Genomic DNA, 19227 nt, shown 5'->3' with positions numbered 1-19227 from the left:
AATAAAATAAAACAGGAAAGATAGAAAAGCCAGTACCACACGTGTTAACAGGCAAGTTCCTGTGTTAGATATCTGGGCTTAATTCTATGGGAAGCTATGTGGAACATGCCTCAGAATTACATCACTGAATCCAGGGAGATTCTTCTTAGTAACCCTCACCTTTTCTTCCCACTTCATGCCCAGTATCAAGCTCCCGTGCTGCTAGAGAAAGTCCTCAGCTAGAAACAGGTGCAAATTCTGGAGATGAGACCTTGTAGAGTGTTAAGAATGGTTTTCTTCCCAGCAGCTACAGGTAAGGAATAGGGGCTCGGCTATTAATACATCAGCTACAAATCAATATACCCCTTATGCTCCTTTTGGTGATCGACAATGTATTTAAAAATATTAGATGATCAAGAAGGGCTGCAGAAAGGAGGAAGCAGAAACAAACAGCACACCTCTTGGTTTATTTTTATTCATTTCATCAGTTTCAAGGAAAATGTGTTGGGAGTTCCTGGCATAGAGAATGTCACAAAGACATGTTTTCAATAGTGGTGCTATCCCTAGGGCAGAGAAAACCCAGAGAAACCCAAGTGGCTGCTGGAACTAAGTCAGACACCGTGCCACCTGTCCACACTCCTTGGCTCTGCCATCATGCTGAAGATTGCTTTAAAGGACTGGCTTCCCTCCCCCCAAGATTAAAAGAGCACAAACTGAGAAACTGAATGTGGGAGACAGCAGTGGATTATGCTGTTCTCAGGGGTCACCTCAGGTTTGGAAACATTCTTTCAAATTAACCCATCTCAGGCCATCTGCAGAGAAGAAAGGTGGTACATAACTTTTTCTTGTTAGCATTTGGTAGGGGTGTTTTATTGACCAAATATGTTCCCACAACCTAGTTTTTTGTAACTGACTAAATATAGTAGATTTTTAAATTTTATCATCAAAATCTATAGACAATTTTTGATTAAAATAGACTCCACATCTATGTCCTGCTTTTCTTCTTATTATTAATTACATTGTTGTATAAAAGAACAAGACTTCAGAATCAAGAATATCTTGTCTCTTGGCATTGAATTTATACAAGGTGCTCTTTCTTTAATGCTGTCTCAAAGGACATATTTTTTACTCATTAAAAAGGAAGATCAGAATCTAGTTGTATGCATTGCTCCAACATATTAGTAATTAAAATTAGGAGGTAAATGTGGTCAAAGCGATAGAAAGACTTGAGATGTCATTTATATTGATTATAGCACTCTACAAACAGAAATTGTTAAATAATAGTTTATATAAATATTTTGTATCATTTCAAATATTTGAGTGCCTGAAGTTTCTCCTCTTGTATAGTTCAGATTATCAATTTGAAGACTTACTCCGTTAGTTAAAATGTTTCTAGTCTCGTTTATTATATAAAAGCAATTTTCAGTTAAATGTGTTCCGCTTACATAAAACATTACAAATTAGTGAGTATTTAATTACATTTTCATGTTCCTGTAATGTCTTTAGAAGATTTTCATATTATTACCTATCAATATATGTATGCTTTGTCAAAGAAAAATCAAACATATATATCATTGAGATTGAAACTTTTTAAAAGTACTTAATTCTATTGAAAAACCACATCCATAGGAACAATTGCAATATAATATTGGGAACATTAAATATATATCCTATGTCTATTTTATATATAAGCATATATGATTAAAAATATAAAGATTTTTAAACGTAGTATTATAAAGTAAAAATTAGTTAACTTCTGATGATTATGTTAATTAAGATAAAATTATTCTGATTTTGGTGATTTTTAAATAAAAATATTAAATTACATGACAAAAATTCTTTATAAATTGTTTATGATTTTTACATTGGTTTTATCACTTTATTCCACTATTTTATTTTAAGATGACCTGTCTTGTTTAAAACACTGTATTCATCTTAAATTAAATTCCATTTTTAAAAAAATTAACAAGTGATTTGCTCTATTATACAGTGCGGTTATAAACTGAGTCAGTATCTCAAGATTTGATCCCCATTATTGTCATCTGTGGTCCTATTTGTTTTATAAATGTATTGTCTTTTTCCATGCCTGTCACGTCTCTATTGCTCTTTCATTTTTCTCTTTGTCCCTTATAGAGAGCATTGCCTATCTCTAGATTAAGCAAAAGTTGCATCTTAACAAAGCACAATAACCTGCTCAATCTTTCTCACACAGAGAAATGTTTGTTAAGTAATTAAAGTGTAGATGATGATACAAAGAGCTTGATTAAATTAGATGCCAAAGCACCCTTGTGATTCAGAATATGAATGGTATTTAATTTCTTTGAAATCAATAATTGCTGAGTGACATTAATTAATGCCAATATTCCAGAAGTTGTTCTAGTTAGTGAAATGTATACAACATGCAAAAGATTCAGAACTCTGAAAGGCAACATTATTCTATAATTAAGAATTAAGAATTAATTCACAATAATTATCAGAGAGAAATAATTATTAAGAATTAATGACTGAGAAAATGTTTTTATTTTTTATTTAGAAAATTATTTTGTGCATGAGCATTACTGCAAGTTGTGCAAGAAACATAAATGTAGAGAAACAATTACGTGCACAAGATGAATTTAATAACATCTTGATATTTTCCACGGTTACAGTTTTATTTGGCAAATCTTTAAGTGCACATCATCTAAAGATAATAAATGAATCTTGGAAATCTTGTAGGTAAGGCTAAATATTAGGATGCATCCAGTTACATTTACACACACATACAATTACATTTACACACACATACATGCACACACACTGATACACGTGTGTGTATATATATATGAATTTACTAATTGATTTTAACTAATATTTATAAAAGCCAGTTGGATTGATATACATTGTTGAACCTGAAAAATATTTATTATATACATGTTTAAAATACACAAATAAATAGTAATTGCACTAGGCATTTGAAACTGTACTAAAATATAAGCTGTGAACATTTTGTGATCATTACAAATTCTTACACTGAATATTTTTATTTTTATATTAATATGTTTGATACATATGTAATTTTTTACAGTGTGTTATTTTATTTTTGTCATAGAGTCATGTCATGCATAATAACATTTCAGTCAAAGATGGATTACATATACAAAAGTGGGCCTATGAGATTATAATACATATTTTTACATGCTTTTCTATGTTTTAAGTATGTTTAGATACATAAACTCTTACCGCTGTGTTCTTATTGCCTGCAGTATTCAGTACAGTAATGTAGTACACAGGTTTGTAGCCTAGGAGAGAGAGGCTATACCGTATAACCCAGACGTGGTAGGCTGTACAATCTAGGTGTTTGTAATATTCTCTCTGACGTTTGCAAAATGATGAAATTGCCTATGGATGCATCTGTTAGAACGTATCCCTATCATTCAGTGATGTGTGACTGTACTAAAATGCTCAATCTAAGTTTCAATGCCCTCCATAAAATTGTTGTACTGTGAAATACAAATCTCTCACCTATGGCCTGAATATGTTTGCAAACTAAGCAGATTATGGGAAGGAGAATGTGCTGGCATCGCTGGGATGATTTTCTCACACTACATGAATAATATCTCCAGACTTCGTGAATATGAGCCACTTGCATAGAGTTAAAGTAGACATCTCTTTGCTGGGAAATTTATCAAATGGGAGTATGAAGTGTTTTTAAAAGATACTTGTTTGTTTGTAGCCGGTAGGCCTACAGTGGCTCATGGCAATGGTTGAGGTTGCTAAGATGTGGTGGAAGGAGGCAAAATGGCCACTTACATGGTATATGGTATATGGATCACTTGTTTCTGTTGAGTTACAGATTCAGCTGGCTATTTCTCCCAATGTTAGTTATTTGGAGAAAAAAAACATGATGGTAATTTTGCGGTAACAAATACAATATTTGATGAAAGCAAATTTATTGAGGGTTAGACAAACTACAAGGTACTTTAGGCTGCAAAGTCAACACGAGACTTCTGGCCCAAATTATGCAGAGTTTGGGTCCAGCTGCAAAGTTCAAAGGAAGAGGCCATATAAGACGATTCTCACTTCTGACACCAACTGCCATTTCAGGGGTTTCCCCTGAACACCCTCAGATTCAAGAATTTACTAGAAAGACTCACAGAACTCATTGAATGCCATTGTACTCATGGTTTATAATAGAGAAAGGGTAGAAATTAGGACCAATTAAAGGAAGAGACATATCATATAAGGTGGAATCTAGGAGGATTTTGAATGTTAAGTTTCCATTGTCTTCAGGACATATTACCTGTCATTGTTGTACAGCAATAAACATGGAGTACTACCAACCTGGGGAGCTCACCTGATGCTAAAAAGACACTATTTAGAAAATGAAAAGACAAATGAAAGGATGAGATAAGATGACCTTCCACATTAAGGCACTGGAAAAAATAGCAAAACTAAAGCAAGCAGAAGGAAGAAAATAAAAATTAGAGAAATTAATAATTTATAACAATATTTGTTAGTATTGAATAATTGATATTAATTCTTGACTAGCTTTTTTAAAAAAGAGAAATATTCACTTCCCAATTTATTCTGTGGGGCCAGTGTTACCTTGATACAAAAATTAGTCCAAATAGCATAGAAAAATAAAACTACTATAAGTATAAATGCAAAATTCCTTAAAAAATACTAACAAATCATATCTAGCAACATATAAAAGAATTATAAACTATGACAAAGTGAAATTTATACAAGTAATCCCAGGTTGGTTAAACAGCCCAAAATCCATTAAGGTAATATATCTTATCCATAGAATAAGAAACGAGAATTGCATGATCATCTCGATAGATTCAGAAAAGACATTTAACAAAATCCAAATTCTTTAATGATTAAAAATAAAAATAAAAACTCAATGAACCAGGAATAGAGAACTTTCTACGCCAGATACATGGCACCTGTGAAAAGCCAACAGCAAACATGCAACTTAATGGTAAAAGAAAGGATACTTTCCCGCTATGGTCAGAGATAAGAATAGGATATATACTTTGACCTCTTCTAGTCAACATTATACTAAAGATTTTATGCATGGCAAATCGGCAACTAAAGAAATGAGTCACCCATATTGAATAGAAAGAAATAAAACTTTATTTGCAAATAACATTCTTGTATATAGAAAATTTTAAGGAATCCACTGAACGACAGAACTAGTAAATTATTTCAGCAATATTACAGCATACAAGATAAATATAGAAAAATCAATTGCACACATCTACAATGAAAACCCCAAAATGAAACTAAGAAAACATTTCAATTTACAATAGCGTCAAAAAAGAAATAATAATTAATTTGGAAAATGTGATACAATATTTTACTCTGAAAATTAAAAATTATTGTTTAAAGAAGATCTAAATAATTAGCAAATGTCTTATAGCCATGAATTGGAAGATTTAATATTGTAGTACTTTACAATTTGAACTACAGATTTGATGAAATCCCTAAAAGTATCCCAACAGACTTCTGTCTAGAAACTGACAAGCTGATTCTAAAATACACATGGAATCGCAAGGGACTCAAAATAGCCAAAATAACCTTGAAAAAAGAAAACATAATAGGATAATTCACACCCCCGTGCTGCACACCTTACTGCAAAGCATCAGTAATCAAGACAACACAATACTGATGAAGGAAAAATAGATTGATGGAAGAGAATGGAGAGTCCATATATAAAACTATGTATCTATAGTCAATGGATTCTTACAGTGGTGCCATGTGCAATTCAATGAGGAAGAGACAGTCTTGAACAAGCTGGGTCAACAACGTACACATGGATCACCACTTGCAAAATAATAAATTCGAACCCTTACCCCAAAGCATACAAAAATATTAACTCAAATGAATTAAAGACATACATGCAAGAGCTAGAATAAAGCATATGGGAAAATCTTCAGGATTTTGGATCTAGCAAAGAAATAGCTGTAACACCAAAAACATGAGCAACAAAATAAAAATTAGATATTTAAAATTTCTTAAAAATTAAAGACATTGGTGTTTCAAAGGACAACCAAGCAAGTCAAAAGGCAGCTCAAAAATTGTGAGAAGATATTTGAAAAACACGTGTCTATATGTCTGTATATATATATATGTATCTTGAATATAGAAAAATTGTTTTAACTCAGTAACAAATATCCCAACTCAAAACTGATAAATGATAGGAATAGATGTGTTTCCCAAGAAGTTACACGAACGGCCAATAATCCCATAAAAATATACTCAATAGCATCACTCATCAGGCAACTACAAATCAAAACCACAGTTAGATACTCTATGGCTAGAACTGGCCACTTTGGAAAACAGTTTGATGGCTTCTAAATATATTAAACATAGAATTGTCATATGACCCAGAAATGTATTCCTAGGTATACACCCAGATTATTGGAAAGAGGTGTTCAAACACAAATTGTACACAAGTATTTTTAGCAGCAGTATTTAAAATAGCCAAAGGCTGAACACAACTCAAATGTCAATAAAAATATTATTGGATAAACAAAATTTTATATCCATGAAATTGAATGTTCTACAGTTATAAAAAGAAATAAAGTACCAATACATATATGAACCTTGATAGCATTATGCCAACTGAAAGAAGCCAGGCACAAAAGGCCACCTATTGTATGATTCTATTTAGATGAAAATAGAATAGGAAAATCTATAGAGACAAAACAGATTTGTGGTTGCTTAGGATTGAGTAGGGGATGGGTGCATAGGAGGTTAACAGCTAGAGAAGGTGGGGTTTCTTTTTGAAGTGAAGAAAATGCTCTAAAATTCATTGTGATGATGGCTCCACTTACCTGTGCATATACTAAAAGCCACTGACTTGTAGACATTAATGTGTGCACTCTACACTATGTAAATTATATCTCAATAAATCCTTTCAAAAATACACAGAAGAGTACGGGGTTTGGGAATGTTGCAGCTGGGAGGCAGTTTGAAATACCGAATAGGTCTCATCGAGAATGTGAGGTTTCAGTAAAGACTTGAGGAAGTTGAGTGAGCTGATCAATGGATATATGGAGGGCTATCTTTCCAAGCCAAGAAATTAACTAGAGTCTTGGTCATAAGACAGCAGCAAACATGCATGTCCAGAGGACAGTGAGGTGGCCAGGACCACTGGTAAGATCAAGGGTGAAGAAATAAAAGAATTTTCGTGGTTAACCTGCAGCGGATCATGATGGGCTTGCAGACCATTGTAAGAATTGTGGCTTTTAGCGTACATGAAATGGAGAGACAAATCATTATCCCATTACCAATATTTTAATAAATTGGATCCATGAACCAAATCCAATGAGATTAAATCAATTAGTAATAATATGCAAATTTGTATTAAAATTACAAGAATTACTTGCACATTTGAGAACAGGAGATTCATGATTGTTTATCAGCAATAATAAACATTAATTTTAATTGTGATCAGCTAATTGAGATTAATTGCAATACATCATGCTTTATAATGTGACTGTCAAAAGGAAAATATGATTGTAATCTTATACTACATCTATCAATGTCTTTGATTCATAAGACTATAGAGTAAGCCCCTAGTTTTCAAAGCCAACTTATGAGGCAGTGACATCTTATGCAAGTTTGCTGCTTTCTGCCACAGTGGTCCTTGGTCAGCTGGCACAAATTGTTTTACAAATGCCCCTAGGTCTAAAAATAGTTTGGATCACAATGAACACAGAAACACCTTCATCCCTTCAGAAATACCTATCAATTACTTCCAATACAGAATGAAAAATTGACAAAGGAAATACGTTGATTGTAAAAATGCCAGTTAGCTTGCATCTACATGAAAGAAAAATGCCATTTTTATTACATTAGATCATTGTTTTACATGAGTTTTGGTATAGCACAATGTTGAACCAAGGGCAAAGAGAGATGAAATAATGAAGTCTTAAGATATCAAGAATTTGAAAGAAAAGGCAGGTCATCTTTGAAGGTTAGTGACATAGCATTCATCTTCTGTTGTCACCTTTTCCGTCATTCCCTGTATGCCTGATGGACAGCTTTCACTCAGGTTCAGAGAACAGCATGCAAAGATTAGCTACCAATTAATCTTTATGAAGTGAGCTTCATTTCTAGCCAGACTGAGCTTACGTTTTAGCAGAAAGCATTTTTGGGAAATGTTTATGTTAGAGTTTGCCCTTCTTGACAAGGTGAGACATAAATGTCTACTTCATAGACATGAATTAAGATGGGAAGATATTTGGGGGAAACATTTACTCAAACGCCAAATAATAAAGGTACAAAAAGGGCAAATTATACTAGATTTCTTTCCCACTTGTTTTCTATGTCTCGTGCAATTCACCTTGATTCCCTTCAGTTTCTGTTTAATGTAGAAAGTGGCATTTTCATTATTTTAAGCTTCTAGCACAATGAAAGAATTTCTCTTTTTCATGAACTGGATCATAAATGAAAGGGAGGAAGAGTGTCCTATATCATATTTATTGTTCAACAAAACACTGCTCCACGGCTTAAATTCAGTTTAAAAAAGAGAATTTATTGAACATCTAACACATACATAAAAGGCAGTAAAGACAAATGAGAAGAGGGCAGGATATTGAAGTATACAGACTTTAATGCTGAGTTTTGTATCTTAGTAAGTTACTCCACCTTACAGAGGCTCAATTTCCCCTGATTTAGGAAGGCGATGCTAATGGGTATTGCCTAGGTGTAAGTATAAAAATGTTGTATTTAAGAGAATCCCACAAGCTTGGTATAAGGCAGAAAATAAATAGATGTGACATGAATAAGTAGTTTATTACATTTGTATGCTACCTGCAGACTAGACGAAGCAAGAAACACAGCCACTATGCTTGATTAGCATTATATTCTAATTTGGAATATAAATAGAAAAGAGAAAAATAGAAAGCTATGCATAAACACATGCATTAAAATGAATTTTATGTGGACTCTTTCAGGAAAATGTTCCTAAGGTATTTTATTTTTTTATTGTGGTAAAATACACATAAAATAAAATGTACTCTGTTAACGATTTTAAGTGTACAGTTCAGTGGTACTAAATATAGTCATAACATTGTGCAGCCATCCCTACCATCCATCTCCATAACTCATTTCATCTTGTAGAACTGAAACTCTATACCCATTAAACAATACTTCCCCATTTCTTCCTCCCCACAGCTTCTGGCAACCATCATTGTACTATCTCTATGATTCTGTCCACTTTAATACAAATGGAATTATACTGTATTTGTCCTTCACTGACTAACTTATTTCACTTGGCATAATATCCTCAAGTTTCATCCAAGTTGCAACATATGTCAGAATATTTCCCTCATGTTTAAGGCTGAATAATATTCCATTGTGTGTATATATCATATTGTGCTTATCCATTCATCTGTTGTTGGACACTTCAATTTCTTCTACGTTTTAGCTATTGCCAATAACGCTGCTGCAAGCATGGATGTGCAAATATTTTTTCAAGACTCTGCTTTCAATTCTTTTGCTATCCTGAGATGTGGCGCTGCTGAATCATATGGCAATACCATTTTGATGTTTTGAGGAACTACCATACTCTTTTCCACAGCAAACATAGCGTTTGGCATTCCCTCCAATACTGCAAAAGGAATCGCCACATCCTTGCCTGTGGATTGTATTCACAAGTCCTGTGGCTCTCTCTACATCCCGGCCACCATGTGTTATTTCCTGTTTATGTATATGACATCAAAGGTGCAGAAAGTAATGAACTAAATTGGAAGGATAAACATGTAGAAAAACAGAGGTAAATACTGACTACATAAAACAATAAGAATTTTGGATGATCTATTATATACCTATTTATCTAACATCTATCTGTTCCTCCATCTGTAATTAAAATATATTACAGTTAGAGAACAGAGGAAAAAGTAGGAATACATGAATTTAAATTTTAATTCTTCTTATATTGTCTCACAGCATTATTATATGAAAGAAAATTTATAGGTCAATATCTGTTAACTATAAATGTAACATTCTTAAAGAATTCAAATACATTGAATTACAGCATGAATAATATATCACAATCCATTCAAGTTTATTTTATTCCAGGAACACAAAAATACAAATTTCATTTGCAATTCAAAAAAAACAGAAATCGATACATATGATTGATGTATATACACATTTAATGTATTTTTAAATATACATTTTTAAAAAATAGAAATTTTTCTAGGACAAATACTTAAAATACCACTGAAAATAGTGTTATTAGCTAATATCTTCCTAATAACTCTGGTATTACATAAGAAACCAAAATTAAAATTTCAGGTAAACTTAGAAACTAAAAATTTTAAAAATATTGTTCTGTTCTCCATATGTTCATATTTAATATTATTTCTTGTTTTCATTCGTCTTCAGTGTTGCTCTACTAAAACATACAATACTAACTTTTGATTTCTGTTCTTATTACTCAGAATTGTATACATTTTCTCATGCTCTTAATTTAGTTATGCTACTTTTCTGTACTCTTGGAATTTTCACATTTGTGTTCACTCTCTTTTGAGTTCCCATAGTATCAAATGAGCTTTTTTCCCTCTTTCTGATTTGAAGATTCATCTTCTCATAATTATTTTGTCCACTCAGTTTTTTTTCATTCTCAGTTAAGTGCCTCTCATCTGGCTTCTTTTCATTTATAAGGTTTCCTTTCATCTTAAGCCAGTCTTTCATTTATATTTTGATTCTGTTTTGTGGAGGACATGCTTCCCTGAATTTTATGGAAGAGGCCAAAACGTTTGTTCAAGTTTTTACCTGATACATTGGATTAAATTATCTAATGTACACACTCTTAATTTAAGTCTAGGGGTGACTGTCTACTCTTGATTTTGTATAGTATTATTTTTCTTAACATCCAAGTCCATCTTCATCTATTTGTATATGATCAATAAAAATATATTTGTCCAGAACCCTGCTTTAGCGGAGTTACTTCTTTCTAAGTAGTAGAGGTAGCAGTTGAGACATGAGCTGGGTTCTGGGTCAGTTTAGAGGGCTGGGCGACATTCCTCCTTTTGGTCTGTATGACTGAATGAATGCAGTTCTTGCTGTCTCACTCCTCTCCTTAACACATTGAGCCATTGCAGCAGATGAGAAGGAATAATCTTGATCTGCCATTCAGGTGGAACACATGTTCTCTCCAACCACACCCATAGGTTGTACTCACGCTCGGCCAGAAAGTATCCTGTCAATGATATGGAGATGTATCTGTCTATCTAGATAGATACCTACTTTGGTGTATGCTCTCTGGTTGCCCGTAAATTATCTCCTTAAATTGAATATCAAAAGAGAGCTTGGTGATGGCAGTGTTATAAAATCCTCAAAATGCAGCACCCACACCCAGAGGAATTTGTAGATTCTGGGATTCTAATTCAGATACCAAACTATATAAAAGGGGAATTGGTCATTGAGGGTTGCTAGGCTCTTTGTTGAGCATATTTGCTCTTTTCATGACTCTGAAATTATTTTAAAAATCTAACCTTTTTCTCAGTGTGCTGCAAGATGATTTGATTTTAATGCATAAGCACTAATTCTCCCCTAAGATTTGTACAATATATTCGCTCTGACAAGCCATAGCCAGCAACTCACTTCACAGCAATTTATAGCATTTCCACAATAAGTTGAATTATTTTTAACTAGACTCTCTTTGCCTTAATAAAAATATGAAGAAGCAATATACTTGTACTAATTAGGTTCAAAAGTTGGCAGTCTCTCTCCTGGAAAGAATAGTCAAACTTTTCAGCAGCCTAATATGCATCTATAAACACACACACACACACACACACACACACACACGCAAGCACTATTCATAATATTTAAAGCACATTCTGTTCTATGACTTCATTTGTCTAGCACAAAATAAAACGATCTCAGTATATGTCAAGTACCAATTTTTTTCATATGGCCAATTATAGATATTTTATTTTTAAAAGATTAGAGTGTTCTTGAAGTTCTTTATATTTGTCAATGAACTAAACACTGGCAAATATGTAGGGTTTCCCACATAAGAACACTATTAACATCAAAATAGAAAGCTGGTGGTAGAAATAATGATTGGGAACAGAGTCTCTACTCAACTTTCTAGTTCTGCCATACCATAACTTTGTGATCTCAGGAAATATCTCTCCATGTTGTCATCTCTATGTATAGTTCTGTCATTTTTCAATAAGAGCTTTTTGCTTAATTATGAAGTACTAGTTACTATAACCATTATTTTGAGCTTCATGTAAATCAAGAACACATGGACTCCACTTGCAAAACATCGAAAATGTAGTTAGGGATTGGGGGCATAAAGCAACATTTTAAAATGTGTAAAGACAATGAATAAGCAACGAAGTGTCCAGTTTTTTAGGGGAAAGTTGCATACGTTAGAAAAAGGCAGGATTAAGTAACAGGGAATTTGAATGATAACTGGCCAATTCGTGTCATTTACAATTGCAAGTCATACAAATGAAGTTTTCTGTTTTAAAGAGAAAAGGAGTTATTTAGAATGGGTCAACCTATTGGGGAAGCAATGTAGTTAGAGACAATGCCCAAAACCATGTGAGCAAATGCTCTGTAGAACGCACCCCTGCAATGCTGCCATTGTGAGGCCAAGTCTCTCCTTGTCTTGGTACTGAGCCCTCCGTTCTGCCTCCATCATTGCCACTGTAGCTGCCACAAAATGATCCCTCAACCACGGCTGCCCAGGAACAAAGAAAGAATTCTGTCCTTCCGTGCTCTCAGATCAATATCCAACATCAGGTGAGCCTTTGATGGGCACTATTCAGTTCCCATATCCAAGAAATAGATGCAGTAAAAACATAGAAATTGCCAATGTGTTTCCCAAAAAGACACATATGGAAGCCTGTTTTCCCACAACAGGAAGGAGTTTGCACAATGGGTGTTCAAAGGAACAATATTCCCTGTAAACCATACTTTGCCCCTATGAAGAAAAGCAATAAGGATTATTTAGTAAATAGACATGGAAACTCACCCAGGGTTGGCTGATGAGAAGCTGGTTAGCAAGGGGGTCTGCCTTTAGTTAGGACAAGGTCTGTGCTTCCCACGGGTTCTCTCCACAGCAGGAGGGATGCAAACTTCCCTTTCCTTCCCTGCACCTACCCTCAAATGGCCCAGAGGTCTTCAGGTGCTAGAATTTCTCAATTAATGCTGCACAAAATAACAGACAGCCTTGACTGTCACAGTCTGTTCTCATGAAGCTAGTCTCTGCTCACTACATAAAACAGGAGAGTGAGAAGAAGGGTGTTTAACGCTATCCTAGCTCAAACATGTTTCTCTCTGTAGGATGCCAAGAACCTGGGAACCAGTGCATCTGCTGCTTTCCCTTCTTGGATTCTAGCCCAGACAAAAGAGGCAAGGGGCATTTCTTCAGAGGCCTTGAGCTTCACTACACAATGACCCAGGCTCTACATGCACCCTCTTTATATATTTCTACCTTGAAAAAAAATTTTTATATAATATTAATAATATATATTTTTATATAATAAACACGTTTATTTTATAGATAGATATAGATATACATAGATAAAGATCTCTAGTCAGCCTTTTTTAAGGCTGGGCTGATCGCGGTGCCTCAAAACTATAATCCCAGCACTTTGGGAGGCCAAGGTGGCCAGATCTCTTGAGTCCAGGAGTTGGAGATCAGCCAGGGCAACATGGTGAAACCCCATCTTTACAAAAATTAGCTAGTATGGTGTCATGCACCTGCAGTCCCTGCTACTCAGGAGGCTGAGGTGGGAGAATCGCTTGAGCACAGTATGTAAAGGCTTCAGTGAGCTCTAATCACATGACTGCACTCCATCTTGGGTGACAAATTGAGACCCTCTCTCAAAAATAAAATAAAAAGGCTACCACCATACTCACAGATAAGTGTGTCAGGTATATTTGCAGCTATCCTTCCTATATTCTATTTGGTAAAAAAAAAAAAAAAAAAAAAATTGCAAAGAACTCTTCTCATTCTAGATTTTTGTATTAATTAGACATTTGAAGTTTATAGCAGAAGAGCTATAATCATGTTTGGTATGTGTATTCTATAGACCAGATAGTGCAAACAGATATCAATGCTTTTTAAAAGTATATAAGGTTATTAGAAATATTTTAAACTACCTATAGGTATATATGTATGTAATTGAACTATCAAATGCAAGTAAGATCATTTCCTTAGCGTGTGAAATCCACTCAATGTATTAAAATATTTTCTAATATCTATTACAATAATTTCTTAATTAGCTAACATAAGAGTTTTAAGACATTTATTTATATGTACTTACTAGATTCAAACTTGATTCCACTATTTTCAGAAATCATACTCTGAGACAAGTCCTTTTTTAATCTATGTTTCTGCCTATATTAAAAGACAGATATGTCAATTTTGCTAATCATGCTGTTCCAAACCTCTCCATCCTGATTATTTTTTGGTTTGTTCTAGCAGTCATTCAGAGACTTACTTATATTCAAATTTCTCTCTAGGTTTAACATTCATGTATGTCTTCTTGTGGTTTTGTCTATTTTTGCTGTATATAATTTAAGACATTTTATTGACATATATCATACATGCAGAAAAGTACAATGATTAAATATGGATACCTTGATTAATGAAACACATATATTTGCTTATAGCCATGTATGAAAATAGAACATTACTAAAAATAGTGATACTTCTCCTGCCCCTTTCCAAACACTAACCCTCATCCTCAATAGTAACAGAGTTTTTTTAATCGTAATTTGGTCTACTTTCAAATTTTTATTAAATCAGAGTATCTACTCTAAGTCTATGTTTATTTCATTGTTGTTATTTTGCTTGTAGTATTTATCTGCTAATGGACATGGTAGATTGAAGACGGCTACATACACTTTTTTAATTAATAGATTTTTTGAGCACTTTGTGGCTCATGCCTCTAATCCCATCACTTTGGGAGGCTGAGGTGTGTGGATCATGAGCTCAGGAGATCCAGACAATCCTGGCCAATGTGGTAAAACCCCTTCTCTACTAAAATACAAAAAATCAGCTGATAGTTAACATCAAGATAACATCTGAGTTCTTAGCTGCACTGAGTCAAGCCTACTTACATCTTTGTCTTGCGCTGCACTTTTCCTTCCACATCACAGTCCAGGAATGCCAAGCTGTGCTGGCCTTCTACCCCATTTCCACTATTTTGCCCCCGCCGCCCCGGCTTTTTGCCGCCGCTGCTTTTTGCAGCCACCGCCGCGGGTTTTTGCCTCCGCTGCTTTTTGCCCCGGCAGCCGCGGCTTTTTGCCCCCGACGCTGGGGCTTTTTGCGGCTCTTTGACCCGCCGTCGGGGCTTTTTGCGGCTTTTTGCCCCCGCCCCTGTGGCTTTTCGTCACCGCTGCGGCAGCTTTTTGCCCCCGCCGCTGCGGTTTTTTCCCGCCGCGGCTTTTTGCCCCCGCCACCGCGGCATTTTGCCCCGTCACCGCGGCTTTTTGCCCTTGGCGCCGCGGTTTTTTGCCCCCGCCGCCGCGGCTTTTTACAGCTTTTTGCCCCCGCCGCTGAGGGTTTTTGCTGCTGTGGCTTTTTGCCCCCGAAGCCACGGCTTTTTGCCCCTGCCGCCACGGGTTTTTTCCACCGCAGCTTTTTATCCCCACTGCGGCGGCTTTTTGCTCCTGCCGCTGAGGCTTTTTGCCGCCGCGGTTTTTTCCCCCCGTCGCCGCGGGTTTTTGTGGGGTTTTTGCCCCCGCTCCTTTTTGCCCCCGCCGCCGCGGCTTTTTGCCCCCTCCGCCTAGGCTTTTTGCCCCCGCTGCCTTTGGAACCTTAATTTCACTTGAAATCTAATTTCCCACTGCCATGCAACATAACATATTTGTATGTTAGACTCCGGGAATTAGGACATGAACATTTTTGGGAGGCCATTATTTTGTCTACAGCAGACATAATCTATTTACCTGCAGATTAAAGTGTTCTTTATTTTTCTGCCTGTCTTAATTTTTTTTAAATAATATGAGTTGTAAAGAGAAAGAAAAAAGAAGGAAAGAAAGAAGAAAGAAAAGGAGGAAATGAGAGAAGGGAGGGAGGAAGGGAGAAAAAAGAAAGCAAGAACTCAAGAAAGAAAGAGAAAAAGTGAGGAAGGAAGGAGGAAGGAAAGGAAGAGAGAATGGTAAAAGGGAGGAAGGCAAACAAAATAGGGAGGAAGGAAGGAAAAAGGAAGGGAGGGAGGAAGAAAAGGAGGGAGGAAGGGAGGAAAAAAGGAAAGAAAGAATAAGAAAAGAAGGAAAAAAAGGGAGGGAGGAGGGAAGGAAGAATAAGGGGAAGGAAGGAGAAAAAAGGAAAAGAAAGGAAAAGAAGAAGAGAAGAGAAAGGAAGATGGAAGGAAGACCGCAAATATTAGAAATTCTGGGTTTGTTAGAAAATATGCCATACTGTTTTTTTTTTCACTTGAAAGCGTGTCTGCCATTGAAGATTGCGTGTCTTGTTGGTGATATTGTTGTTCTTATCTTCCATAGGATTACTGAGTTTGTGCCTAGTCTGTCCATTACTAAGACAAAAGTGTTGAAGTCTGCAAATATAATTTTGGATTTTTCTAGTTCACCTTTGATTTCTTTCCTGTTTTACCTCATGTATTTGGAGGTTCTGTTGTTAGCTGCATACCCTAATTAGTAGGATGTTCACATCTTGAGAATTATTATATTATCTATTATCTCTCATTTCTGATACTATTTCTTGTTCTGAACTTTGTTGTGTCTAATATCAATGTCCTTCCACAGCTTTATTTTAGTGTTTCCATGATATGGCTTTCTCCATATCTTCATGCTAACCTATTTATATCTCTATATATTTGGAGCAAGATATAAAATTTAGAGTTGATTTCTTAAAGATTTTTCAAGATGTATTTCTTATTTATTTTTGTTCTATTTGACATTCTCTGAGTTTCCTATATCTGAAGTTTGATTTTCTGTCACTTCTTTTAGAATATTTTTGGCAGTTATTTTGAAAAATATTTCTTTTGCTCCATTATTTTTTCCTCTTTTTGGGATTTCAATTATAACTAGGGTAGGTAATTTCATCTCAGTCTTATGCAGGTACTTTTTCTCAGGGTCTCAGGAATGTAGCCTTCTCACACTTCTGTTCTTTTCCTGGCTGTGTTGGTGAGCTCAGTGATATTCCTCCTTCACCTTCAAGAGCAGTTTTGTTTTGTTTTTCCTGTTTTCATACTTCCAGTATCAGGAGTATTCTAAGTGTGGCAGTTTTTGTTGTCTTCCCCTACATATTAAGTGGAATGGAATATCTTGGTCTATTTGGACTCTTATAACAAAATAACATAAACCGGGTGACTAAAAAGCAACAGATATTTCTTTTTTCACACTTCTTGAGGCTGAAAGATCTCAGGTAAAGATGCTCACAAATTCAGTGTTGATGAGAGCCCATTTCTTGGTTCATAGATGGTGCCTTCTTTCTATGTCCTCACATAGTGGAAGGCACACAAGAACTCCATTGAGCTTCTTTTATAAAGGCACTAATCCCATTCATAAGGGCTCAGCCCCCAAGACCTGGTCACCTCCCAAGTGTTCTGCTCTCCCTGATCTGTGTCATATACAGACTCTCTTGGATTCCTTACCAATTGCTTGAGAGATCGCAGTGGGTTTGTGGGGAAAAAGTTTTCAAGATGATGGATCTTTCCCAACTTCTGCAGCTGTCAGCGGTCTCCCAATCTGACCAGCCCCACTTTGTCTTTAGGAATTTATTGATTATTCCAGCTTTACTTGTCATAGTGGTGTCTATTTGCATCTGTCCTATGTAAGTGCATCTGTCCTTTTTCTCCTTGCAGGTGCAAGTACTCAGGAGTACACTGCTGTTACTAATTACTCAGTCTTGGTTGGTACATTGTCAAAGATCAAAAAACATTTTTAAAGAGAAAAAAAATTCTTGGAAGGTGTGTAATGGTTAATTCTGCAGACATGGCTTTCCAAAACCTTGCGCATTCCAAAGGTCTTCAGCACTGGCCCTTGACAACCTCCTGGGAGATGACAACCTATGAGCCCTTGGTATATGCTGCCTGATGAGAGTCTTTGTATACTTGAAAACGTAGGTCATACCAAATAGCTGATGCTAACAACGTTATTTCTTGTGAGCACCTGTTTCTGTATGCCTATGACTTTGTGTAATGCCATATTAATATGACCTCTCAGGGCATAGGGAGGTTGGGAACTAAGTAGCTAAGTTCAGTCACAGGATGCTCGATGCATATGTGGTGGAATCCTAATAAAAACCCTGGACTCAAGACTGACTGAGCTTCCCTAGTTGGCAACAAGTTCACACATGTTGTCTCACATGATTGTAAAGAAAATTAGTCAGTGTGAAGTCCCCACTATGAAAGGACACCTGTAAGCTCATATCTGGTTTGTCCTGGACTCAACTTTATGTGCTTTTATGCTTCTGATTATTTTAATCTGGTTTCTTTCACTGTTAGAAACTATAACCACAAAAAAAATCAGCTTTCTTGAGTTATGTGAATCATTAAACCAAAGGGGGACTTGGGGACCCCCAATAAAAAGTATATGTGTTATAGAAAAAGAAAACTGGCTATAGCAGATATTGTTGATGACTTGTCTTCTATGTCCTGGACTCAATGTGTTCACCTGAAATTCACCTGTTTCCAGCTAACTGAGAGCTCCCCACATCATGCCTGTCTTTCTGATTTGTGGACCTGCCTGCAAGCTTCTTGAGGCTAACCAGTGCTTCTCAACCACACATAGGAACAAAGAAGGAGTTAGGGGTGGAGAGTTAATGATTCTAAGGTAATCCTTAAGCAATAAGAGATGGGGATTCCAGCATCCCCATCTCTTTGTAAAGTTATTTTGAGACAATCTCCATACCTCCGTCATTACTGAGCACATAGCAGTAACTACTCATTCACACTGGCTTCGTGTTCTGTTTCATTTTCTCCACTTCTGTGCTTTCTCACTCAATTTCTGATTAAAGTATCTGACCCCAGATATTTGTTTCATAGTCTATTTTTGAGGGAATCCAGAGCCAAGACAATAACAACGGGAGCTTTGCAATGAGGGAGGGTGAGTATAATCATCAGAAGGGTACCTACCTCACTGGGAACATGAAGGCCTGGAGAGCTTGCTGTTTCAATGAGAGAAACATGTTGAATCTCAGTTGAATACCTATATATATATGTGCAATAAGTCGTGCCCTTTACTTATATCAAAGGAAAGTGCTCTTTACCTCTCTTTGTTGTTGTGTTTTTATCACTATTGCCTACACAAGCA

General features: G+C 35.6%; 1 long non-coding RNA gene across 2 annotated transcripts in view, besides 2 other annotated features; it reads left to right on the top strand.

Moving 5' to 3' along the window:
• Positions 1 to 19227, top strand: part of LINC01945 (long intergenic non-protein coding RNA 1945) — a 54115-nt gene that overhangs the window by 12377 nt on the left and 22511 nt on the right. The window lies entirely within an intron of this gene.
• Positions 9283 to 9839: an enhancer, noted in NCBI's record as "NANOG hESC enhancer chr2:132773258-132773814 (GRCh37/hg19 assembly coordinates)". NCBI's record gives its function as "activates a minimal SCP1, AML or CMV promoter by ChIP-STARR-seq in primed H9 embryonic stem cells {active_cell/tissue: H9 hESC(primed)}" and the evidence as "EXISTENCE:reporter gene assay evidence [ECO:0000049][PMID:30033119]".
• Positions 10769 to 11270: an enhancer, noted in NCBI's record as "NANOG hESC enhancer chr2:132771827-132772328 (GRCh37/hg19 assembly coordinates)". NCBI's record gives its function as "activates a minimal SCP1, AML or CMV promoter by ChIP-STARR-seq in naive H9 embryonic stem cells {active_cell/tissue: H9 hESC(naive)}" and the evidence as "EXISTENCE:reporter gene assay evidence [ECO:0000049][PMID:30033119]".

Source organism: Homo sapiens, chromosome 2 (genome assembly GCF_000001405.40).
Source record: "Homo sapiens chromosome 2, GRCh38.p14 Primary Assembly".
Taxonomy (NCBI): domain Eukaryota; kingdom Metazoa; phylum Chordata; class Mammalia; order Primates; family Hominidae; genus Homo; species Homo sapiens.
The sequence above is the reverse complement of the archived record's forward strand: the minus strand, read 5'-3'. Positions and strand labels throughout refer to the sequence as shown.